Source organism: Homo sapiens, chromosome 2 (assembly GCF_000001405.40).
Source record: "Homo sapiens chromosome 2, GRCh38.p14 Primary Assembly".
Classification (NCBI taxonomy): Eukaryota; Metazoa; Chordata; class Mammalia; order Primates; family Hominidae; genus Homo; species Homo sapiens.
The window spans coordinates 84727909-84754033 of NC_000002.12; the positions used below are offsets into that span (position 1 = coordinate 84727909).

General features: G+C 39.3%; 1 protein-coding gene and 1 pseudogene across 12 annotated transcripts in view, besides 1 other annotated feature; both read left to right on the forward strand.

The window, feature by feature from the left end:
* DNAH6 (dynein axonemal heavy chain 6) overlaps positions 1-26125 on the forward strand; it is a 360018-nt gene that overhangs the window by 268337 nt on the left and 65556 nt on the right. For all 12 annotated transcript variants that reach the window (XM_011532650.4, XM_011532649.3, XM_006711956.3 and 9 more), the window contains 2 exons: positions 5536-5671; positions 17172-17341. In XM_011532650.4, the coding sequence (XP_011530952.1) occupies positions 5536-5671; positions 17172-17341 (306 nt within the window). The remainder of the gene's footprint in view (positions 1-5535; positions 5672-17171; positions 17342-26125) is intronic.
* Positions 13605-13654: an enhancer, noted in NCBI's record as "active region_16100". NCBI's record gives its function as "activates an Ori minimal core promoter by ATAC-STARR-seq in GM12878 lymphoblastoid cells {active_cell/tissue: GM12878}" and the evidence as "EXISTENCE:reporter gene assay evidence [ECO:0000049][PMID:35858748]".
* Positions 22819-23353, forward strand: DUXAP1 (double homeobox A pseudogene 1; annotated as a pseudogene).

Below are 26125 nucleotides of genomic sequence, written 5' to 3' on the forward strand. Positions count from 1 at the left end.
GATTCCCATTTAGGTGATGATTGATATGGTTTGGCTGTGTCCCCACCCAAATCTCATTTTGAATTGTAGCTACCATAATTCCCATGTGCTGTAGGATGGACCTGGTGGGAGATTACTGAATCACGGGGGCAGTTTCCCCCATACTGTTCTCGTGGTAGTGAATAAGTCTCATGAGACCTGATGGTTTTATAAGGGGAAACCCTTTTCACTTCGTTTTCATTCTCACTTGCCTGCTGCCATGTAAGATGTGCCTTTTGCCTTCTGCCATGATTGTGAGGCCTCCCTAGCTGCATGGAACTGTGAGTTCCATGTGAGTTCCATTAAACCTCTTTTTCTTTATAAATTACCCAGTCTCAGCTATGTCTTCATCAGCAGCATGAAAACAGAATAATACTATGATCGTTATTCTAGATAGAGCCCACAAGCACCTACCAGTGCTCTGTGGTGACTCTGGTGGCCGAAGGCCATACATTTTGCTGTGTTGCCCAGTGGAGGGGTATTGAGGTCAGGAGGCCCATGTTATAACTCAGCTCTGCCTCCAACTAACTGTGTAATGTATCATTTAACCTCTGTATGGTGTACTATCCTCACCTATAGAAAAGGAATGTTGGGAGTAACCAATAAGCTAGTAGAAGTGAACATGTTTTGCAAAGCTGAACCTCTTACAAATGTAAAGAGTTAAAATCCAATAAAAGTTGTAATTCACAGATTTAGCAATAGTTTTTTTTAAAAAACCATGACCCTCTCTTGCCTGGAGATGTATCTCATTATAAAGCATGGGAAGTGACAAAATGACTTGATTGTCGCCTTCTGTAATACTGTAATACGAGTTCTGCTACAGTTCCCTCCTTCATGTTCATCTGCTTGTCCTGCTTGCTCTAGTCCCTTAAACTGGCTTAACCCACACACATACCACAAAGCTAGTGGCCCACAGAGGTGAGCCCCCAAACCTTGCCTACAATTTGATCTCTGCTCCACTCTAAATTCTTGGCTCTGTCCAACTCTGCAAATCTCAAGTCCTGTCCTTGGCCCCTGCAGAAGTGACATCTGCACCTGTTTGCCAGTATTTGAACCCCAGTGTATCACTAGGAGGTTGAACCTGATGCTTTTATTTGACTCTCAGCACCCCATGTTCCCAGAAAAAGCCGAGACAAGATCTCTCCACCAGATGTTCCTTCCTCCCTGACCCCCATCCATCTTGCATACACACATATTCTGTGACTCCTCTCTTAATGTGTTTTATCCTCGTAATCACAGTTCATATTTACAGAGAGCTTGCTATGTGTTTTATATATATCAACTCCCTTATTCCTCTCAGTATTCTTCTTAGGTAAGTTCCTAATTTGTATCTCTAGTCTATGATAAGATAGTTAGGCACAGAAAGGTTAAGTAACTTGTCCTGATAACACACTTAACAGGACCTGGAACCGGGATTTGAACACTTGCAGTCTGTAAAGCCTGCTCTCTTAACCAGTTCACTCTGCTGCTGACTGTTAGCCAATCACTTAGCCAGGCCCTGCCCTGTGTGTTTTCGCCCTTCCTTCCTCACTGCAGCCTTATCAACAGCTCTGCTTACAGTTTTCTCAACAGAAACTCAAAGAGGTTAAAGAGCTTTCCAAAATCACAATAATGCATAACACAGTCTGATTCAAACCTGTGTTCTAAGCTCCCAAAGCCCATGTCCATTCCAGCACCACCTACTTCTCATGAACAGCATATCTTGAAAAGTTTAAAATATGTTTTAAATACCATCAAACTCAAAATTTAAAATTACCATCATCAGAAACCTCTCTGAATTATTTTTAATTAAACTGTCTTTTCCTCTGTCATGAGGAAATTGGAATGATTCTTGACTAATAATTTTTTTAGAAATGTATTTGGGGTGTATTTTATATGGTCACTTCATTTAATATTTTGACACTAGTATTTTCTATTTTTATCGTAAGTACTACATTGTTTTTTGCTACATTCATTATGATCTAAATTAAATTTTCTGGAATAACCTCAGAAGCCAACTTCCATGCATAAAACTTTTTCTGTGGAAAAATGTGCAGTGAGTTCCAAACACCTATGACAAGATTGTGTCATTATGCAAGGAAATGGTGCAGCAAAAGGGCCCTGGAAGAGACCTAGAAAGAATAAAAGATGAGTGTCCAGGATGGGAGGAGAGAGAGGAAGGAGATACATGCCCGATGGAATCTGGAGTTGACTGGATGCACTAGATAAAGAAAATCCAGATAAGCAAAACACAGATTTCTAGAAGGTGGCAACAACAACAAAAGGTGGGCAGAGATGCTGGGATCTGCAGCTGGAGACTGGCTGGTGTGAGCAGAAGTAGGCATTTCCAGGATTGAACCACAACAGTTAGAGTTTAGGGACAAACAGAAAACAACTGGAACCAATACACAAAGCCTCAAGCATCTGCAGGTTTCTATTACATGTGGACAAGGTAAATGGATTTCTGCAAATTGAGGTCTCCAGGCTATTCTCATTGGGTATATTCAGTCCATACAACTAATGTTTTTAAATGATGATATTTTAAACAGGGGTGTCCCATCTTTTGGCTTCCCTGGGCCACATTGGAAGAAGACTTGTCTTGGGCCACACTCAAAATACACTAACACTAATGACAGCTGATGAGCTTAAAAAAAAAATCTCAAAAAAAAAATCTCATAATGTTTTAAGAAAGTTTACGAATTTGTGTTGGGCCACATTCAAAACCGTCCTAGGCTGCATGTGGCCTGTGGGCCATGGGTTGGACAAGCTTTTTTTAAAGCATTTTCTCTTAATGCTAGGAATCCAAAAAATGATGCTAGTACATAATAATAGCATAATCAGAAAACTTTACATGAAATCTATTTCCTGGAAAATTCATTAAAATTTGCGCAGACCAGTGATTTGTTTTACACATTATTATTAGAGATCAAAATACAGCAAAACCACTCAGAATTGTTTATTAGATATTTATAAATGCCTATGAACGTTAACTAATCTAAGAGTCTTTGAGGGATTTATCTAGGATCAAGATGTAACACAGGGAAATGCCACTTCCAGCATGACAGTGTGAGGATCTTCGCATACTGGCTCCCCAGCAAAACTGTTGAAAATTATATAAGGATCATTTAAAGCATCTGGAAATGGTCCCAGGCACATATAGCAAATGAATAAACATTTATTTGAGAAAATTTACTAGAGGTTCAGTAAGGACAGCAAATCTTGTGGTCTTTGAACCTAGACCCACTCCCTCCCTTCCTGCTCCCAGCTTAGTGAGATAGGAACTGCACTCAAGACTGATGCAGCTAAGAGCACAGGGCTCCTGCCTACTCCCCACTGCCAGTTAAAGGGCCATATTCCTGGAAAGGACAAGACAGCAGCATTTCTCATCCTGCCCACAGCTACCTACTGCTGAAGATAAGTCCCAGTTGAGTGTAGCCAAAAGGTGGGGCTGCCTTCTTCCACCCAGCCTCCACTGAGGAGACTGAGGCTCCACGTTTGGTGCAGCATCACTGTTGTCCCAGCTCCTAAGATAGTAATTCCTCAATGGCAGAGGCAAGCTGAGGAGACCTGAAGCTACTCTCTTCCCATCCATGGCGTACTCAGCTCCTAGAACTGGAATATGCCCCTGCGAAAAGTGCAACATTGTCATGCCCCTGGCTTGGAGGTTTTTCCTGAGTGGGAGAAGCAACCTATAAAACAGATAGTTCCTTATCTCCTCACAGAGTAACTGACTTCATTTCCAACACAGTATGGAAAAGTTTAAGCCTAATGATGCTGTCTAAAACAATAAAGTTTGTAGTGAAAAGCAATTGAAAGGAGGTTGATGGAATTACTGGACAGAGACACAACATTATAAGCCAGCTGGTTTGCCAGAGATAACTTAGGAGAAGACACTGAAGCCTGCCAAAGACCAGAAGGAAACCCAAACACTGACTCCAGCAACTCCTTCAAAGGGGCCCAAATTTGAATGTTTTAGTCTGAGGAGAAATTTATATCCCCAAGAGCATTGTTAAAAACATTAGAGCAATCAGCCCACAATTAGTGGTGCTTAACAGCTAGATGCAGTCAGGGAAAGAAACTATCAAAAAGAGCCCTGAAAAAGCTATGATCATCCCAGGGTAACTGTGAGCATTCCTAAGGCTGCACCCCTTGAGGAGCAACATTAGAGACTTAATGCTGTGCAGGGGGTGTGGGGAGCCTCCACTAAAATAATCCAGTCAGTTGTTAAACAAATAAGCAAGTGACAATAAGAAACCTTTGGGGAAAGGGTGCATGCTCAGAGTTGCTACAATACATTACAGATTGAATAAGATTCCTTATTCAAGACGCCTGGGCCCAGAAGTGTTTCAGATCTGGAGTTTTTTCAGTTTTTGGAATATTTCCATTATACTTACTGGTTAAACGTATGTCTGCACAAAAAGCTGGACACAAATATTCATAACAGCATTGTTTATACTAGTCAAAAGGTGGAAACAGCCCAAAAGTCCATCAACTGATAGATAAATAAAATGTGGTATATTTATACAATGGAATATTATTCAACCATAAGAAAGAATGAAGTACTGATACATGCTACAACATGGATGAACCTTGAAAACACTAAGCTAAGACGTCCGTCACAAAAGCCCACATATTATATAATTTGATTTCCATGAAGTGTCCATAATGGGCAAATATATAGAGACAGTAAGTAGTTTAGCAGTTGCTTAGGGCTCAAGGGATGGGATTAAAGGGGAGTAATAGCTAAGGGGTACACGGTATCTTTTTGAGGAAATTAAATGTTCTAAATTGTGATGGTGGTTGTACATATCTGTGAATATACTGAAATCATTAGATTATATACTTCAAATGAATGAATTGCTTAGCATATAAATTGTATCTCAATAAACCTGCTTTTAATTATAGTAAGGAACCTCAGGCAAATATTCAGGAAATTTTGAAGAACTAGTTTCAGTCTTACAATCACAGCTATTTTTCTGTCTCTTTTAAAACTGTTTGCCCACATGTAAGTGCTTCATGGAATATTGCCAGATGGCATAACACTTCTCCCAGAAGTTTCTAAGAGTATCTAAAATAATTAGACAAACTCTTACCACAGCTAGAATAAGGTTGCCATTTGTCTTGCTACTGATACTGCTCCATACTCAGCTTTCTGTATCTTCTAGGGGTGAGAACATCTGGGAATCTGATTGGGAGACTAGTTCTCTAGAGAAAAATTATTAACCTTAGGAATATTTGGCAAGTGGGGAAAGATCGATGTTGGGTGTTGGAAAACAGGCTGAAAGTAGCAGATTTAATTGATCCACTTTGTTTTCTGTAAATGTCAATCTGAAAAGTTTTTAGCAGCTGTACTTCTGTGCAAAGGTCCACAATTAGAATTGATTCAACACCATTTCTATTTCACCATATTGTACTACTTGTCCTAGGAAAATGGTTATTTTAACATACTATTAGAGCTTGATTTTTCACTTGGACAAAGTGAAAGTATATTTTGTGATTGCCTTTGTGAATTATTATTCATTTTCTGTCTTCAAACAGGAACGCCCACCTAAGCCTGAAGCTCCCTGGCTACCTACTGCTACATGGTTCGCATGCTGTGACTTGGAAGAATCATTTCCAGTTTTTCACGGACTTACCCAAAATATATTGTCACATCCTATTTCCATACGCTTAGGTAATGTGACAAAAAGAACCTGCTGAGGAGGCTTATAAACAGGCTCTTGAATCCTAATCTTAATGTTTTCTTTAACCTCTTCTGTAATGTCAGCATTTTTCACTAGGAACTTCCTTCATTTCTAAGAAACTGTAAATTATTTGTTTTCACAATTTCTTGAGTCGAATGCTTGGCCCATGAATTTTTAATATTTCATGTTTACTTTATATATATGTATACACACACCATATATTTTATGTATATATTTGAGAATGTAAATATACATTTGTGTATTGCTTTAGCTGTATCCCATAGGTTTTTTTTTTTACTTTTTATTGAAGGATAACATAAATCCAGAAAAATGGACAAATCAAAATTATAGTTTGATTAGCTATCACAAACTGTGTAGATTTATTTATGAGCCATCACCAAGATCAAGAAATAGAACAGTACCAGCATCCCAGAATCCCCTTATTCTCTCTCGCTTCTCTCTTCCTCAGAGGTAACGACTACTCTGAATTATAACATTCTGTATTCATTTTTCCCTGCAAGTCTTAATATATAGCCCTTTCAATTCTAAAACTACACTTTTTTTTTTTTTTTTTTTGAGACGGAGTCTTGTTCTGTCGCCCAGGCTGGAGTGCAGTGGCGATCTCAGCTCACTGCAAGCTCCGCCTCCCGGGTTCATTCTCTGGCCTCAGCCTCCCTAGTAGCTGGGACTTCAGGCGCCCACCACCACACCCGGCTAATTTTTTGTATTTTTAGTAGAGATGGGGTTTCACCGTGTTAGCCAGGATGGTCTCGATCTCCTGACCTCATGATCCGCCTGCCTCGGCCTCCCAAAGTGCTGGGAAAAACTACACTTTTTAGTTCAAAACCATTTTAGGATTTAGGGGACCATCTTTTTCTTATTTATAATTTAATTACATTCTGGAAATTATACTCATGGTTTTCATGAAATTGACTCTTTGGAATTATATACACTTCTTTTGCAGCCTGGTGCATGTTTTGTTTATATAAAATATTCCATGCATGTCATTTCTTGAATGCAAGGTTCCATATGTGACCTTTAGCTCAAACTTACTAATTGTGGTATTTACCTTACTAATGTTCTTATACTGGATCTGTCAGATTCTAAGACAGCTATATTAAGGTATACCACTATGATTGGCAATTTCCCTTTGTAATTTTAGAATTTTTCCCATTATACTTTGTGAAACTATGCCAGTATATAAAAATAGGTTTACAGTTAAGTTCTTAGTAATTGTTCCTTTTTATTAAATAATATCACTCTTTACTCTGAATAATGCTTTTTGCCTTAAATATATTTCTTTTTTATTATTTTTATTTTATTTTTGAATCAGGGAGTACGTGTGCTGGTTTGTTACATGGATATATTGCATGCTGGGGAAGTTTGGGCTTCTAATGATCTCATTGCCCAGGTAGTGAACATAGTACTCAATAAGCAGGTTTTCAACCCTTGCTGCCTCCCTCCATCTGCTCTTTCAGAGTCCTCAGGGTCTATTGTTCCCTCCTTTATGTCTGTGTGTACCCAATGTTTAGCTCCCACTTGTAAGTGAGACCATACAGTATTTGGTTTTCTGTTTCTGTGTTAATTCACTTAGGACAATGGCCTCCAGCTGTATGCATGTTGCTGTAAAGGACGTAATGTCATTCTTTCTATGGTTGCATAGTATTCCATGTGTATATATACCACATTTTCTTTGTCCAGTTCACTGTTGATGGGCACCTAGGTTGATTCCATGTATTTGCTGTTGTGAATAGTGCTGCGATAAACATGAGTGCGGGTGTGTTTTGGTAGAATGATTTCTTTTCCTTTGGGTATATACCCAGTAATGGGATTGTGGGTCAAACGTTAATTCTATTTTCAGCTTTTTGAGAAATTTCTAAACTGCTTTTCACAGAGGCTGAACTAATTTGTATTCTCAGCAACAGTATGTAAGCATTCTCTTTTCTCCACAACCTTGCCAAAATCTATTTTTTTGACTTTTTAATAATAGCCTTTCTGATTGGTGTAAGATGGTATCTCATTGTGGTTTTGATTTGCATTTCTCTGATGATTAGTCATGTTGAGCATTTTTTCATGTTAGTATGTCTTCTTTAGAGAAGTGTCTATTCATGTTCTTTGCCCACTTTTTAATGGGCTTATTTACATTTTATTGATTTAAGTTCTTTATAGATTCTGAATATTAGTTCTTTGTAAGATGCATAGTTTGCAAATATATTCTCCCATTATGTACATTGTCTGTTCACTCAGTTGATATTTTATTTTGCTATGCAGAAGCTCTTTAGTTTAAATCCCATTTGTCTATTTTTTATTTTGTTGCATTTGCTTTTGGACTCTTCATCATAAATACTTTGCCTAGGCCAATGTCTAGAAGAGTATTTCCTAAGTTTTCTTCTAGGATTTTCATAGTTTGAGGTTTTTCTTCAACCTTGAGTTAATTTTTATATATGGTAAGAAGTAGGGGGTCCAGTTTCATTCTTCTGCATATGGTTAGCCAGTTTTCCCAGCTCATTTATTGAATAGAGTATTCTTTCCACATTATTTTTATTCACTTTGTCAAAGATCAGTTGGTTGTAGGTGTGTGGCTTTATTTCAGGGGTCTCTATTCTGTTCCATGTGTCTACTTTTGTACCAGTACCATGTTGGTTTGGTTACTGTAGTCTTGTAGTATATTTACATGTTGAATAACATGGTGCCTCTGGCTTTGTCCTTTTTTACTAGGATTGCCTTGGCTGTTTGGGCATATTTTTTGTTTCCTATGAATTTTAGAATAGTTTTTTCTAATTCTATGGAAAATGACATTGGTAATTTGATAGGAATAGCATTAAATCTGTAGATTGCTTCGGATAGCATAGTCATTTTAATGATATTGATTCTTCCAACCCATAAGTGTGGGATGTTTTTCCATTTGTTTGTTTCATCCTTTCTTTCGGCAATGTTTTGTAGTTACTCTTATAGAGATTTTTCACTTCCTTGGTTAGATGTGTTCCTCAATATTTTTGTGGCTATTTTAAATGGGATTGCATTCTTTATTTGTTTCTCAGCTTAAACATTATTGGTATACAGAAATGCTACTGATTTTTGTACATTCATTTTATATCATAAGACTTTGTTGAAGTCATTTATCAGATCTAGGAGTCTTTTAGTCAAATCCTTAGGATTCTCTAGGGACAGAATCATATTGTTAGTGAAGAGAGATCATTTGACTTCCTCTTTTCCTGTTTGGATAAATTTCTTTCTCCTGCCTGATTGCTTTGGCTAGGACTTCCAGTACTATATTGAATAGGAGTGGTGAGAGTAGACATCTATGTTTTGTTCCAGTTCTTATGGGGGAATGCTTCCAGCTATTGTCCTTTCAGTATAATGTTGGCTGTGGGTTTGTCATTGATGGCTCTCATTATTTTGAGGTATATTCCTTTGATGCCTAGTTTGTTGAGGATTTTTATCATAAAGGGATGTTGAATTTTATCAAATGCTTTTCCTCGTCTATTGAGGTGATCATATGGTTTTTGATTTTAGTCCTGTTTATGAGGTGAATCACATTTATTGATTTCTATATGTTGAATCATCCTTGCATCCCAAGAATAAGGCTCACTTGATTATGATGAATTAACTTTTTTATATGCTGCTGAATTCAGTTTGTTAGTATTTTGTTGAAGATTTTTGAGTCTATTTTCATCAGGGATATTGGCCTTTGTTTTCTTTTCTTTTTGTGTCTGTGCCAGATATTTGTATCAGGATGATGCTAACTTCATAGAATGAGATAGTGAGGAGTCCCTCCTCCTCAATTTTTTGGAATAGTTTCAGTGGAATTGGTACCAGCTCTTCTTTGTACATCTGGTACAATTTGGTTGTAAAGGGCTTTTTTTTCCGTTAGTTGGTTGGTTGGTAGGTTTTTATTCCTGATTGAACTTCATTACTCATCATTAATCTGTTCAGGATTTTTGTTTTTTTCGGGTTCAATCTTGGGAGGTTGTGTGTTTCCAGGAATTGATCCATTTCTCTAGATTTTTCTAGTTTGTGTGCATAGAGATGCTCATCATAATACCCTCTGAGGATCCTTTATATTTCGGGGGGATCATTTGTGATGTCACTTTTGTTATTTCTGATTATGATTATGGATCTTCTGTATTTTTTTCCTTGTTAATCTAGCTTATGGTCTATCAATCTTGTTTATCCTTTCGAGAAACCAACTTTTTGTTTCATTGATCCTTTGTATGGTTTTTGAGGTCTCAATTTTGTTCATTTCTGCCCTGATTATAGTTCTTTTATTTCTTCTGCTAGTTTGGAGTTTCATTTGTTTTATTTTTCTATTTCCTTTAGGTACAAGGTTAGTTTGTTAATTTGAGACCTTTCTAACTTCTCGATGTCATTTCTAACTTCTCGATGTAGTTTTTCAGTGCTATAAACTCTCCTTTAACACTGCTTTGCTGCATCCCAGAGGTTTTGATACATTCCATGTCTGTTTTCATCTGTTTCAAAAAAGTTTTTTACTTGTGCCTTGATTTCATTGTTTACCCAAAAGTCATTCAGGAGCAATTTGTTTAGTTTCCATGTAATTTTATGGTTTTGAGAGATCTTCTGTGTATTGATTTCTATTTTTATTTCACTGTTGTCTCAGAAGATGCTCAGTATGATATTGATATTTTTGTGTTTATTGAGACTTGCTTTATGACCAAGCATGTGGTCAATTTTAGAGTATGTTCCATATGCAGATAAGAAGAATGGGTATCTTGTGGTTGTTAGGGAGAGTATTCTGTAGATGTCTATTAGGTCCAAATGGTCATGTCGAATTTATGTCCAGAATTGGTCAATTTTCTGCCTCAGTGATCTATCAAATGCTATCAATGGGGTGTTGTGTGTTGTGTGACTATTGTTGTGTACTGCCAAAGTCTTTCATTAAGCCTAGATGTGCTTGTTTTATAAGTCTGGGTACTCCAATGTTGGATACACATATATCTAGGACACTTAAGATGTTTTGTTGAATTGAGCCCCTTATCATTATTTAATGCCCTTCTTTGTCCTTTTTTATTTTTGTTGGTTTAAATTCTGATATAAGAACAGTAACCCTTGCTTTTTTTTGTTTTCCGTTGCGTGACATATCTTTCTCCATCCCTTTACTTTGAGCCTATAGGTGTCATAACATGTGAGATTGGGTCTCTTGATGATAGAAGAAGAATGGGTCTTGTTTTTTCATTCAATTTGATACTCTATGTATTTTAAGTTGAGCATTTAGGCCATTTATGTTCAGTGTTAAAATTGATATATGAGGTTTTGTTGCTGTCATAATGTTGTTAGCTTAGTTGCTTTGTAGTCTTTATTGTATAGTTGCTTTATGGGTACTGTGGGCTATGTGCTTTCATGTGCTTTCATGGTAACAAGCATTATTCTTTTGTTTCCACATTGAGAACTCCCTTAAGCATGCATTGTAGGGCCAGTCTGGTGGTGGAAAATTCCCTTGGTGATTACTTGTTTGGGAAACACTTTATTTCTCCTTCATTTATGAAGCTTAGCATGGAAGGATATGAAATTCTTGGCTGACATTTATTATCTTTAAGAATACTAAAAATAGGCCCCAGTTTCTTCTGACTTGTAAGGTTTGTGCTGAAAAGTCTGTTTTTAGTCTTATAGGTTTCCCTTTATAAGCAACATGACCCTTTTCTCTAGGTGCCTTTAAAGTTCTCTTTCACGTGGACTTGGGTTAGTCCTATCCCTCCTATCCATCCCCAAGTGTGTCTTGGGAATTGTCATCTTGTGTAGCATCTTACAGAAGTTCTCTGGATTTCTTGTATTTGCATGTCGACCTCTCTAGCAAGATTGGGGAAATTTTCCTGAATTATATCCTCAAATATGTTTTCCAAGTTGCTTATTCTCTCTTCTTCTCTCTCATGAATGCCAGTAAGTCATAGGTTTGGTCACTTTACATAATCCCATATTTCTCAAAGGCTTTGTTCATTTTTTAAATTCTTTTTTACTTTTGTCTGACTGGGTCATTTTGACAGATTGGTCTTCAAGTTCTGAAAGTCTTTCTTTTGCCTGGTCTAGTCTGTTGTTAAGGCTTCCATTTGTATTTTGAATTTCCTGATGCGAATTTTTCAATTCCAGGACTTCTGTTGGTTTTGTTCTTAATATAGCTATGTTGTCTTTCATATCTTCTGTTCTGTTCTTAATATAGCTATGTTGTCTTTCATATCTTGGATCATTTTTCTGGCTTCTTTGTGTGGGATTTCAACTTTCTCCTGGATCTCATTGAGTTTCTTTGCATCATATTCTGAATTCTATATCTGTCATTTCAGACATTTCATTCTGGTTAGGATCCATTGCTTGGGAGCTAGTGGGATCCTTTGGAGGTGATGAAACACTCTGTCTTTTTGTATTGCTGGGGTTCTGCACTGGTTACTCCTCATCTGAGAGAGCTGATACTTCTCTTTTTTTTTTTTTTAATTTGGTATCACTTGGTTGGGGCTTCTTGTTTATTCGTTTTTCCCTTGGGGGTATGACTGTGATGTATATTGTGTATGATTAATTGGCTTCATTTCTAGGTGCTTTCAGAGTGCCAACTCTCTGTACAGGTTCCTTGGTTGCAAGTAGGTTCATGCAGTGACTTTCTCAGAGGTTGTTTGTTGTAGCAATGTAATTTTATTTGGTGGCGTAATTCAGGATGCAGTCTAGTAGATGGTGCTTAAGAGTAAGAACTGATGGGTACAAGCAGGGGTGGAAGCACTAGAGAAGTACAAAAAGCACCTCTGCAGAGCACATTCACCCTCAGTAGGGCAGAGCTGCTGGAGAAGCTTGAGACACAGACTCTTTCAACCCGCATTCCCCAGACTCCAAAGTGAAGAGTCACTTCCAAATCCATGACAGGGCACTGAGAAGAAGGGTGGCGGAGCAAGTGTGACCCCCTCTCCATGTCCATTCCCAGGCTTTGGTGGTACCACCTTCAGTGGCTGGCACTGCACCCATGTTTTCTTTTATCCAAGGGGGTCTTTGGTGGGCTGCACTCTCCCCTCCTTTAGGGACAGTCTGCAGCAAGGGTTAGATCTCCAGGGGAGTGGAGTCTGCCTCCCTCCCACGCCTCAGAGCTGGTGGGGCACTGTTCCCCAACTGACCAAGGAAACAGGCTGGGACACCCCGTTATGACCCATGCAGACCAGTTCTAGGTTGCAAAGCTGTCTCTGACTGAAAGTCTTGCCCTCTGGGAAAAACCTCAGCTTCAGCAACTCTCCTCCCACTCCAGTCTTGTGATGGGAGAGAGCGTAATTCCACCACCTACTACTGGGGCACTCTCCACACTCACTGCTCAATTCTGCCTGTGGGGACCCTTCTCCCCTTCCAGAACAAGCACTTTAATCTCACCTAAGACCAAAATGCTTGCTGTGGCCACCGCTGCCAGGTTACCAAACAATGGCTCTAACCTCTCAAAATGGTGTCAGCCATGGGCTTGCACCTAGAGAGTGGGGAGCCCCTCTCAGGCGAGCAGCATGGACGAGAAGCTGTGAGGAGTGTGGTCCACTCAAGTCTCAGTCTCATAGCAGCTCGTAGCAAGGCATTGGACATTGTCCTAGGTATATATAGGAGAGCCTTGGTCCCCTTTCCCTGCTTGGCTGGGTGGCAGCAGCAGTCACATCAGCCCAAACTCAGGCCAAGGATGAGGCACAGCTCAGCACTACATTCTCAAAATGGTGCCTTGGGCCTGAAAACAGGGAGGGCGGATCACTGCCCAGGCAGGCAGCATGATCAAGAAGCTGTGGGGAGTGTGGTTCATTCACATCTGTCTCACAGCAGCCTGCTACAGAGCTGTGAGTATTGTCCTAGGTATGAGTAGGATGACCTGGTCTCCCTGTTCTTCCTTAGCCAAGCAGAGGCTACAGCCACATCAGCCCAAACTAAACAAAGCATGGAGCTCAGCCCAGCATTAAACTCTCAAAAGGGCACCTTGGGCCTGGGGCTAAAGAGGGTGGGGCACCATTCAGGCAAGCAGCATAAGCAGGAAGCTGTGAGAAGTGTGGTCAACTCATATCTCAGTCTCAACAGCAGCTCATAGCAGGGCAGCAAGTACCCTCTAGGGGGTGCATGAGTGTGCCCGTTCTCCCCTCTCCCTCCCTGGAGCAGCACAGTGGCTGCAGCTGTGTCTGTAAATCCCCAGGATCTGGGTTCTCAAAATGGCACCCAGCTGAGGCTGCACCAGGCTCGGATTCCTGTGGGATTGTGTGTGGGTTCCCTTTCTAGAGAAATGTCTCTGTACAATCTTTAGGCAGTTCCATATGTCAGGCACAAGGCCCTAGTGGGTCAAGGGTTTCTCCTGTAGCCAAGATCTTAAAACCCTGTTTTGGAGCTCCAGGGATTTCCCTCTTACTGTTTCCCTGCATCCAGGACCATCTCCCAGCCCAGTCAGTTCCTGGCTGCGCAAGCTAACTTGAACCCTCTCCTTACTTACTTCTGGTACTTCATGTCTCTTCTCTAATGAATCCAAGCATTCTCTCCTAGATTACCTGTTTGAACTGTGAGTATCTGCTTACTATTCTGGCTCTTCTCCATGGAGGCAGCACGCAATACCTGCATCTAGTCAGCCATCCTGACCTAAAACCTCAAAATACATCTTCTAATATTAATATTATTACAGCAAGCCTCTCTTAGTACTCCCACTCTATATATTTCTGCACTCTTTACTTTCCATTTTTTGTGTGTCATCATTATGTTTTTGGTGTATCTTAGTAGGATTTTGTTGTTGTTTTGAGGAACATGAAAGTCTTTCTTTTAACAGACAAATTTTAATTTGATTATATTTATTATGGCTATTGATTTATTTAAGTTCTTCTTGACTGAGGAAGATTTCCATTTGACAATGTCTAGAGACATTTTTGTTTGCCACAACTGGGGTGGTGCTACTGGCGTCTGGTGGGTAGAGACCAGAGATGCTACTACACATCCTACAGTGCTCAGAACAACCCTCCACAACAAATAACTACAGCATCCAAAATGTCAATATTAGTAAAGTTAAGAAACTCTGATCTGTTTGGACTTACATTGGTCATCTTTATTTTGGGCATATTTTTCTGCCAGCTTTTTCTTTGCTTCCTTTTTTCTTCTTTCTTCTTCCTTCTTCCTTTCTTTATATCCTTTATTTCTCCTCTCCTTCCTTTCTTCTTCAGTTGCATCATCCACACTCTTTATTTTCCCCTCTACTGATTTGAAATTCTATTTTTATTTTTTGGTAATTACTCTTATACTTCTAATATGAATATTTATTTAACTAAGTAAACCCATTAAGTGTGGTGGTTTAAAGTCTACATTAACCAGAATTTCTAAGATCCTAATAGATTTATTGGATTTCTAAATGAAGACTAGGGGGAGAAAAAGCTGTTCAATAAATGCATTAACTTATTGAAAAGTGCATTCCCCCCTAGTCTTTTGTCCCCCACTAGTAAAAATTGTTTCTATGTTATGCACCAGTTAAATGAGACAGCTAGAGGTAGAGATAGAACACAAAAAGAAAAATACTCATAGAAGAAACCCAGAGATGGACAGTTAGGGACAGACCCAAAGCAGAAAGGGCTAGATGGAGCCTCATCTACACAGAGGCAAAGGAAGAGGGAAGGTGTGGAGGTTGAAAAGCAAAGTAATTATAGGGACAACTCATAATTTTTTCATAGAAAGCACCATGTGTTATCCATATCTTTGAGACTAAAATTGCAACAATTTAAAAAAACTTTCCTGTTTTTATGTGTTAGATTTCAAGGTTTGTTCCAGAAATGCTACAGACTTATGAAGGTTTGTACATAGTTTGATAGGTGGCTGGTATTCTAAAAGTGAGCTTTAGATATTTACAAGTGATGTCTAATTCCATTGTCAATCTTACCTTCAGAAACTTCCTAATTGCCTTAATCTTTTGTCTTTCTTGATTTCTAAGTGCTTCGTGTCCTATTGGGAGTTATTTAAAATATACATTATTAAGCTAGGTGTGGTGGCTCATGCCTGTAATCCTAGCACTTTTGGAGGCTGAGGCGAGTGGATTGCCTGAGCTCAGGAGTTGGAGACCAGCCTGGCCAACATGGTGAAATCCCATCTCTACTAAAATACAAAAAATTAGCCTGGTGTGGTGGTGTGCACCTGTAGTCCCAGCTATTCAGGAGGCTGAGGCTGGAGAATTGCTTGAACCTGGGAGGCAAAGGTTGCAGTGAGCCGAGAACACGCCACTGCACTCTTGCCTGGGCAACAGAGCAAGAATCTGTCTCCAAATGAATAAATAAATAATGCATTATTAGATACCATCTTCTAATGCATATTTTATACATTATTTTCTCCCATCATTTCCTGGAGTCCTAATGATTACACAATAAATAATGAGAACCTCACTGGAAAAGGAGTCCTTTTGCAATACATGGTTCTGCTACCTGGTCTTCAGAATAATGCAGACACCTTTAACTAAAGAGTATTGTGACATGGTATGCTTTGTCGTCTCATACCTTGTAATTGTCTATATTCCATATATAAATTATAAATCTTGCAAAGATGAACACTACCCCAAGGCCATGGTCAGAAGTGTCACTAAATTTTTGTGTCACTAGCTTTCTGATTGCTATGATTAAGCCCCCAGAGGAGAGCCCCTGCAGACAAGCTAGAGAAAGTTGCTTTCTAGCCTGAAATGCAAGCCAACAATTGTGCCTAACGGCCAACCCAAGAAACCTGTTTCCTTACTGGAGAACACACTAGTTATTTTGGCTTTCTGAAAGGCTTATACCATATGCATTCTGTACCTACAGAAATGTCAGTGCGAATTCTTAGTACATGTTATAACCATTGTAAGAACTAACTGTGATCCTAACTTTCATACAAGATACAAATCCATTTCTTATAAATATTCTATAGCCAGGGAGCAGGGGATGATGTATCGTTTATTAGGGCATAATGTAAATATGTCAACGTATTCAGCTATTATTTATAGTGTTTGAATTACATATGCTAGAATTTTCAGTTTACTTCATTTATCATAGACTGATTTTATTTTTTTCTTGCTTTTTCTTCTACCTCTAACAGTTATTATTTGACATATTTTTATGCTATTTTCTGGCTCACCTGGGTTCATTTTATTATGTTTTTATTATGGATTTGTTATTTTTATTAATATAAGAACCTACTTTGTCCCATTTAATTATGTTTGCTTTGAATTCTAGTTAATATTACCCTTATCACTTCAATCTTCTTTTTGCTCACATTTGCTTAAGTATCTCTATGCATCCTTTTATTTTTAACCTTCCTAATATTTTGTTTTGTTTTTGTTTTTTGTAAGTGGTTTGCTGCTATTTTCTGATTACATTTTAAATTCTTTACTTTTTGATTAGGTTGGGTAGCAGGGGAGACTGATGTATTTATAGTATACTTGTGGTTAAAACTGATAGTAAATATAGAGATATTTTTAAATTACCAAACATTATTTAATTTCAAAGCCAAAACAAATCTAATTAAATTATCTTTTTTAAATTGTATTTCCAGGATCTTTTGAGACTTATATTAACCCACAGAAATGGGAAGGCTATTCTAAAATGAAACACGAAGATAAACACATGAGACAGGAAAAGGAGGCAGCACACCAAGATCCATGGAGTGCAGGATTGAGTTCTTTCCATAAGCTAATTCTTATTAAATGTTGTAAAGAAGAAAAGGTAGGGCATTTTTTTAATTAAAGGACTGTGTTACAATTATTTCTACTAAAGCTCACTAGCCAGTTATGATTTATAAATTTATTTGAGAGTAACAATGGCCAAGTTTGGGAGATGACTCAAAAAAATGAAACATGGGCCGAGCGCCGTGGCTCACGCCTGTAATCCCAGCACTTTGGGAGACCGAGGCAGGTGGATCACGGGGTCAGGAGATCGCGACCATCGTGGCTAACACGGTGAAACCGCGTCTCTACTAAAAATACAAAATAATTATCCGGGCATGGTGGCAGGCGCCTGTAGTCCCAGCTACATGGGAGGCTAAGGCAGGAGAATGGCATGAACCCAGGAGGCAGAGCTTGCAGTGAGCCGAGATCGCGCCACTGCACTCCAGCCTGGGCAACAGAGCGAGACACTGTCTCAAAAAAAAAAAAAAAAAAAGAAACATGGTTCTGTGTTATTACTAGAACATAATGTTTTATGTAGAGAATTATGAAAGAGAGCCAGCCAGGGCCATGGTTATCCTTTCCCTGGTGTGTGCCATTAGAGTACCGTGCTCTCTGCTGGAGGGATGGAGTCTGTTGGGAAGCTTTAGAAGGGAAGTAATGGGCCTTTCAGATCTTGACAACAATGGAGAGGAGACATTTGAAGGGTACAAAGCCATAGTTACCAGGACCTGTTTGAAGATGAAAGAAGTTATGACAGTCTGAATTAAGACAGAGGTAGTAGATTAGAGAGATGAAGGGGGGCATGGAGATGAGGCAACTGATATGGCCCCCAGTTTCTGTTTGCATGCCAAAGGGGATAGTTGTGCCAACAACTAAGCAAATGAGAAAGGAGTAATGTGTGAGAGAGAGATGCTATTGATTCTACAGCTATCAGAGTGGTTAGCAGTCTGAAAGTCAGCTCATATGGAAGTAGGAAACTGTAGAGAGATATATGAATTAGAAATAGAGATTTGGGAATCAGCATTCATTTGGAAAGTAAAACTATGGGAGTTGTTAGGATCGTAGAGGAATAAGACATAATAGAATAAGAGGAAAGATGGGCAAAAAGTGAAGCTCTGATTGCCACCAACTTTTAAAAGGCAGAGAGAAAGGATAAGGAGCCCATGAGAAGAAATAGCAGAGGGTCAGGAAAAGCTCTAGGAGAAAAAAAAAGTGTCATGGAAGCCAAGGAGGTGCAAGTTTCAACACAGCACAAGTTATCAACAGAATGAATGAAGCATTCATGGCAGTTCCAGTTTCTATGCATTTAGATATAATTCCTAATTTTATTGTTAATAAGGGTATAATATTATCTGCTAAGGATTTGATTGGTGAGTTTCAGGAAGCATTAGAGAAAAATGGAGATTGTTCCTTTGGGAAAAGGGAGAAAAAACTAACTGGAAAAGATGAAAGCATATTTGGGAGGTGTTGATGCTATGTTGTAGGATTTTCTGCTATCTGTGTATGTTAGTCTGCTTTGCATTGCTATAAAGGAATGCCTGAGGCTGGGTAATTTATAAAGAAAGGAGGTTTATTTGGCTCACAGTTCTGCGGCTGTACAAGCATGACACCAGCATTTTCTTGGCTTCTGGTGAGGCTTCAGGAAGCTTTTACATATGGTGAAAGGCAAAGGGGGAGCAGGCACATCACATGGTGAGAGAGGAAGCAAGAAAGAGGGGAGGGAGACACCAGACTGTTTTAAACGTCTATCTCTTATGTGAGCTACTAGAGCAAGAATTCACTCATTTCTATGGAGAGGGCACCAAGCAATTTATGAGGGATCCATCTCCATGACTCAAACACCTCCCACTAATCCCTACTTTCAATATTGGGGATCACATTTCGACATGAGATTTGGAGGGGACAAACATCCAAACTATATTATTCCACTCCTGGCCCCCAAAATCTCATGTCCTTCTCATATTACAAAATACAATCATGCATTCCCAACAGTCCTCAAAAGTCTTAACTCATCCCAGTGCTAACTCAAAGTTTCAAAGTCCAAAGTCTCATCTAAGACCCAAGGCAAGTTCCTTCCACCTACGAACCCATGAGATCAAAAACAAGTTATTTACTTCCAAGACACAATGATGGTTTGGGCATTGGGTAAACATTCCTATTCCAAAAGGGAGAAATCAGCCAAAAGGAAAGGGCAACAGGCTCCATGCAAGTCTGAAACCCAGTAGGGAAGACACTAAATCTTAAAGCTCCAGAATAATCCTTGACACCATGTCCTGCATCCTGAGCATACCGGTGCAAAGTGTGGGCTCCCAAGGCCTTAGTAAGCCCTGTCCCCATGGCCTTTTGGGGAGCTGTCCATGTTGACTGCCCTGCTGGGTTGTAGTTGAATGCTTATGGCTTTCCCAGACTGAGGGTGCGCACTGCCAATATCTCTACCATTCTCACAGCTCCACTAGGCAGCACCCTGGTGGGGACTCTGTGTGGGGGCTCTAACCCCACATTTTCCGTTGACACTACTCTAGTAGGGTCTCTCTATGGGGATCCCACCCCTACAGCAGGCTTCTTCCTGGACACCCAGGCTTTCCAATACATCCAATACATTTTTCCAATATAAAATCTAGGTGGATGCTGCCAAGCCTCCTTCACTCTTGCATTCTGCCCAACTGCAGGCTTAACATCACATGGAAGCCACCAAGGCTTATGGATTTTGCCCTCCAGAATAGCAGCCCAAGCTGTACCTGGAGCCCTCTGAGCCAAGGGTAGAGTTGGAGATATTGGGATTTGGGGAGCAGCTTCCATAGGTGGCTCAGGACAGCGACGCCCAAGGCTTGTCTACTGAAACTATTCTTGCCTCCCAGGGCTCTGGACCTGCAATGGAAGGGACTACCTGGAAGATTTCTGAAATGCCTTTGAAGTCTTTTTTCCCCCTGCCTTGAATGGTAGCACCTGGCTCCCATTTAGTCATGCTAATCTCTCTAGCAAGTGGTTGTTCTGCAGGCCTCTTAGAATCCTTTCCTGAAAATGCTCTTTCCTTCCCTACCACATAAGCACGCTACAAATTTTCCAAATTTTTACCCTCAGTTTCCCTTTTAATTATAAGTCGCAACTTTAAGTCATTTCTTTCCTTCCATATCTGATTGTAGGCTGTTAGAAGGAGCTATGGCACTTATTGACCACTTTGTGGTGAAAAAATTAGATTATGAAAAATTTGAAATTTCTTCCACCAGATAACCTAGGTCATCACTCTTAAATTCAACCTTCCACAAACCCCTAGTGCATGGACACAATACAGCCAAGTCCTTTGCTAAGGCATAACAAGGGTGACCTTTGTTCCAGTTCCCAGTAAGTTCCTTATTTCCATCTGAGACTTTATCAGCCTGGCTTTCACTGTTCATATTTCTGTCAGCATTTGGTCACAACTTAGACAGTCTCTAGGAAGTCCCAAACTTTCCCTCATCTTCCTGTCTTCTGAGCCCTCCAAACTCTTCCAGTATCTTCTCATTACTCAGTTCAAAGCTGCTTACACATTTTCTGGTATCTTTGTAGCAATGCCCCATTCCTCAGTACCAACTTTCTGTATTGGTCCATTTTGCATTGCTATTTAGAAATACCTGAGGCTGGATAATTTATAAAGAAAAGAAGTCCATTGGGCTCACAGTTCTGCAAGCTGTACAAGTATGGCAGCAACATCTTCTTGGCTTCTGGTGAGGCCTCAGGAATCTTTTACATATGGTGAAAGGCAAAGGGGGAGCAAACATGTCACACGGTGTGAGAGAGAGCAAGAAAGAGGGGAGAGAGGCACCAGACTCTTTTAAACAACTAGCTCTTATATGAACTAATAGAGTGAGAACTCACTCATTTCTGTGGGGAGAGCACCAAGCCATTCATGAGGGATCCACCTCCATGACCCAAACACCGCCCACTAGGCCCCACCTCCAGTATTGGGAATCATATTTCAACATGAGATTTGGAGGGGACAAACATTCAAACTCTGTCATTCTGTAGGAAGACAGAAAATAAGTTATGTGGTTGACCTTAAATACAGATGATTATAATAAAAGAATAGAGAATGCAAGACCATTGAGAGTGTTGGTAAGAGTAGTTATAGGAAAAAGAAGAGATATAGAAAGGGCTTATAGACTGGGAGAAAAGGAACAAGTAGGTGGAAATTTCTTTGAGAAATGATGTAGTTAGACTAGGGATGTGGCACAGCTGGAAAGATGGGAGAGGTTATAATCAAAATTGAGCTTAAAATTTCTAATGGGGAGCAGTTCCAAGTGATGACAATGTTCTGAGGTTGACCATGGGTATGGGTGACTGTGAAAGAGATAGGATGTGCACTGAAGTTAGAAGCCAAGGAACTGCAAGGTTAGGCTGTTGGATGTCCACATGAACCCTGAACCTGGGTTGTGTCACCTCAGATGGTGCCTGGGATGCAGTAGATAAATCAGTAACACTTTGTTCAATGGAACAGACATGTAATAGAAAAGAAGGCTGGCTGTGATCCAGGTGGAAAGTCTCCAGTGAATATGGACAATAGCTACCAGGTTGGATGGTGAAAACATGAGAGGATGACTAGATGCCATGAGTCAAAAAAAGGAATTTTCCAAATAAAGACATTGAAGCTAGAAAATTATAGACTATGAAAATTTTTGCAAGTCATACAATCTGATTTCTTTAACAACACGTTTTGTTTGTTTGCTTTTCAAAGGTAAATAGGAGATGATGAAGTTTATAGATTAGAAGAGACTTAGGAGACAAAATAATCTCTATGTATAAGCTTTATTTAGATCCTAACTTAACATACTAAATATACATAATTACATACTATTAAATATACACAATAACATACCATTATTTAAACATACGCTCACATACATTTATAATTTATTCAGGGAAATGTGAACACTACATATTTGATAATATTAAGGAATTATTGTTAATTTTTTAGATGTAATTGTGGTACTGTGATTATGGTTTTTTTGTTTGTTTGGTTTGGTTTTTTTTTTTTTTTTTTGGAGATGGAGTCTCTCTCTGTTGCCTGGGTGGGAGTGCAGTGGCATGATCTCCACTCACTGCAACCTCTGCTCAAAGGATCCTCCCACTTCAGCCTCCCAAGTAGCTGGGACCACAGACATGTACCACCACGCCCAGCTAATTTTTGTATTCTTTTTGTAGAAATGGGGTTTTGCCATGTTACCCAGGCTGGTCTTGAACTCCTGAGCTCAGGGGTTCCTCCCATCTTGGCCTCCCAAAGTGCTGGGATTACAAGTGTGAGCCACCATGCCTGGCCTATGTGGTTATACTTTTTTAAAGAGACTTTGTCTTGTAGAAACATATTGAATTACTAAAGGATAAGATCATATGACGCCTTAGATTTACTTTAAAATAATCCTAGAGGCTGAGGGAGTGGGTGGGTGTGTTAATGAAATAAGATTGGCCTTGTACTAAAAAATGTTGAAGGTGGGTGAAGCATCAAGTTCACTATTCTCTCATTTTATATTTACTTGAAATTTTCCATAGTAAAAAAATATTTTGACTCTTAGTCACATCCTTGAACACCTAAACTCTCTTGCAACATGTATAACATAGCTGTCCACATGTGACCAAAGCTACAAACAGTAGACACTGTCATACCAAATTCACAGAGGTTTCATTGAAAATTCTTATCAATGCCTTCAACCAAAAACCTTACCCAGGTTATGATACCAAACAGTTGGTAGCATATATTCACAAATCAATACTAATCAGAACCCAGATTAGGTTTCAGAAATTAAGAGCTAGACACCCATTCCAGAGAACACAGGAACCTGGATCAGCCAAGACCAAGGACAGTATCACCTGAAGAAAAGATTCAAGTATGACAGTGTTGTCCCAGCTACACCTCCTACCAATTAGAGTCCTCATCAAAGCATTTAGGAACAATCCTTACCCTGCTATTGATGCCAAAGAACAACTTGCTGAAGAAATTGGGGCTCAAGAGTGAAGAATCCAAATTCCATTTCAAAACTGAAGATCTGGATTCCCTGACTAGAGAAAAAGAGTATGTGAAGAAGCCTTATAACTAAGACAAGACTAGAAACAAGACCTCTGTGATGAGAGAGTTCAGGATAACCAAACTGTTGTTTCCAGGTCTGTTCACAAGCGGAGCTTATTGGGTGACCAGTGCCTCTATATGGTGGAATCAACTGCTCTATTGGGAGAAGGAGGATAGTCCAACAAAGTGGCTTCTGTGGGAAACTCTAGTTTTACACAAAAACCAAGCCTTCTTCATAAATAGTGTGTTTAGACCTAAAGATAAAATTTCATTTCAAAAACTCTTAGTAAGCCCCATGGTATAGGCTCATTAGAACTGCAACAGGAAATAGAATGCTTGTCATCCCAATAATTCTTTCTTTGGCATCAATAGTATCAACTTCTCAGGAAAAGGTTATTAGGAATTTGAACTAGAAAGAGAAAAAAACTACCGTAATTCAGAGATGAATAAAGCTTGCTTGATAGAGAATAATTCATCACCACAGAACAAAGCTAAGACAAGTTCTCTACACCAGTGTTCTCAAATTTTGGTGTACATCAGAATCATTTGGGGGTCTTGTTAAAACAGACTCCTGGGGCCCATCCCCCAGTTTCTGATTCAGTAGGTCTGGGCTAAAGACCAAGAACCTGCATTTCTAACAAGTTACCACGTGATGCTAATGCTGCGGATTTTGCAAACATACTTTGAGAACCACTGTTTTAAGGTGATTAAATATACATAAGGAGAAACTGTTTTCAAAGCTGTCAGAGAGATGAGGTCATACATCGTTCCCTGAAGCATCTTGGTTTCCAAGGCTAAATCCACTGGGAACTCAAATGTTGGCAGGACTGGTGTTTCCATCCAGGTTTCCTCCACCTCACAAAGAAGGCAGTTTCTGTGACAGCTGGTTTTCTCTGTTGAAAACCATAGAGAAACCAGAATTATGATGAATCTCACTTAGAGCAACAATTGCAAGTTTTTCCCAATTTGGTAAAACCCAGATGTATGAATGCAGTGTTAAGTCCTTATTGTTAATTCTGCCATGTGCTGACTATTTATTTAAGCAGAATATCCCATGGAAGAAAATTCCCCAAAAGAGTCTCGTTGATGCTTGGCACAACTACTTGCTAAGTAAGAAAGATCTCTATATCATACAGATTAAGCAAGAGTTACTTGAAAATGTTAAAAATGCCACGTTAGCTGTCACAGACATACTCTTTGATCATGTGTAGTAACAACAATTCTAACAACTTTATTGAGGGATAATTTACTTATTATACAATTCACCCATTTAAGATATTCACTTCAATGGCATTTAAGATCTTCACAGAGTTGTGCAACCATCACAATTTAGAGCATTTTAATAACCCCCCGAAAAAACGCCATACCCATAGCCGTCATCCCCCAGTGCCATCATCACCAACACTAGTCTACTTCTGTCTCTACAGATTTGCCTATTCTGTTTTTTTTGTATCCTGTCCTTTCATTTAACATAATATTTTAAAGATTCGTCTCTGTTGTATCAAGTGTCTGTACTTCATTCCCTTTTATTGCAAATAATATACTATTGCGTGGATATGCCACATTTTATATATTCATTCTCAGTTGATGAACATTTATGTTGTTTCCACTTTCTGACTATTATGAATAATGCTGCCATAAACATTTGTGTACAAGTTTTTGTGTGGACATGGGTTTTAATTTATCTTATGTATTTACTTAGTGAAATTGCTGCATTATATGGTATGTTTAACTTTTTGATGAACTGCCAGACTGTTTTCCTAAAAGGCTGTATCATTTTACATTCCCACCATCAGTGTATGAGGGTTCCAATTTCTCCACACCCTCACAACATTTGTTATTATCTTTTTTATTATAGCCATCCTAGTGGGTGTGAGATGGTACCTTATGACTTTGATTTGCATTTCCCTAATGATAATGAGCATCTTTTCTTGTGCTTTTTGGCTATTTGTGGAACTGTCTATTCAGATTCTTTACCATTTTAAACTGGATTATTTGTCTTTTTATCATGCAGTTGTAAAAGGTTTTTTTTAATATCCTAGCTACAAGTTTCTTATCAGATATATGATTTGCAAGAATGTTCTCTCATCCTATGGGCTGTCTTTTCGCTTTCTTGGTAGTGTCCTTTTGAAGCACAAAAGCTTTTAATTTTGATGATGTCCAGTTTATCTATTTTTTTTTCTTCTGTTGCTTGTGCTTTTAATGTCACAACTAAGAAACCATTGCCTAATCCAAGGTCATAAATATTTACACCTATGTTTTCTTCTGAGAATTTAGCCAGCACTTTGGGAGGCCAAGGCAGGCAGATCACCTGAGGTCGGGAGTTCGAGACCAGCCTGACCAACATGGAGAAACCCCGTCTCTACTAAAAATACAAAATTAGCCAGGTGTGGTGGTGCATACCTGTAATCCCAGCTACTCAGGAGGCTGAGGCAGGAGATTGGCTTGAACCCAGGAGACAGAGGTTGTGGTGATCCAAGATCACACCATTGCATTCCAGCCTGGGCAACAGGAGTGAAACTCTGTTAAAAAAAAAAAAAAAAAAAAAAAAGTACAGTTTTGGCTCTTACATTTAGATCTTTGATACATTTTGAGTTAATTTTTTTTTTTTTTTTGAGACATAGTCTCACTCTGTCGCCAGGCCGGAGTGCAGTGGCACAATCTCAGCTCACTGCAACCTCCACCTCCCAGGTTCAAGTGATTCTCCTGCCTCAGCCTCCCAAGTAGCTGGGACTACAAGTGTGCACCACCACGCCCAGCTAATTTTTGTATTTTTAGTAGAGATGGGGTTTACCATGTTGGCCA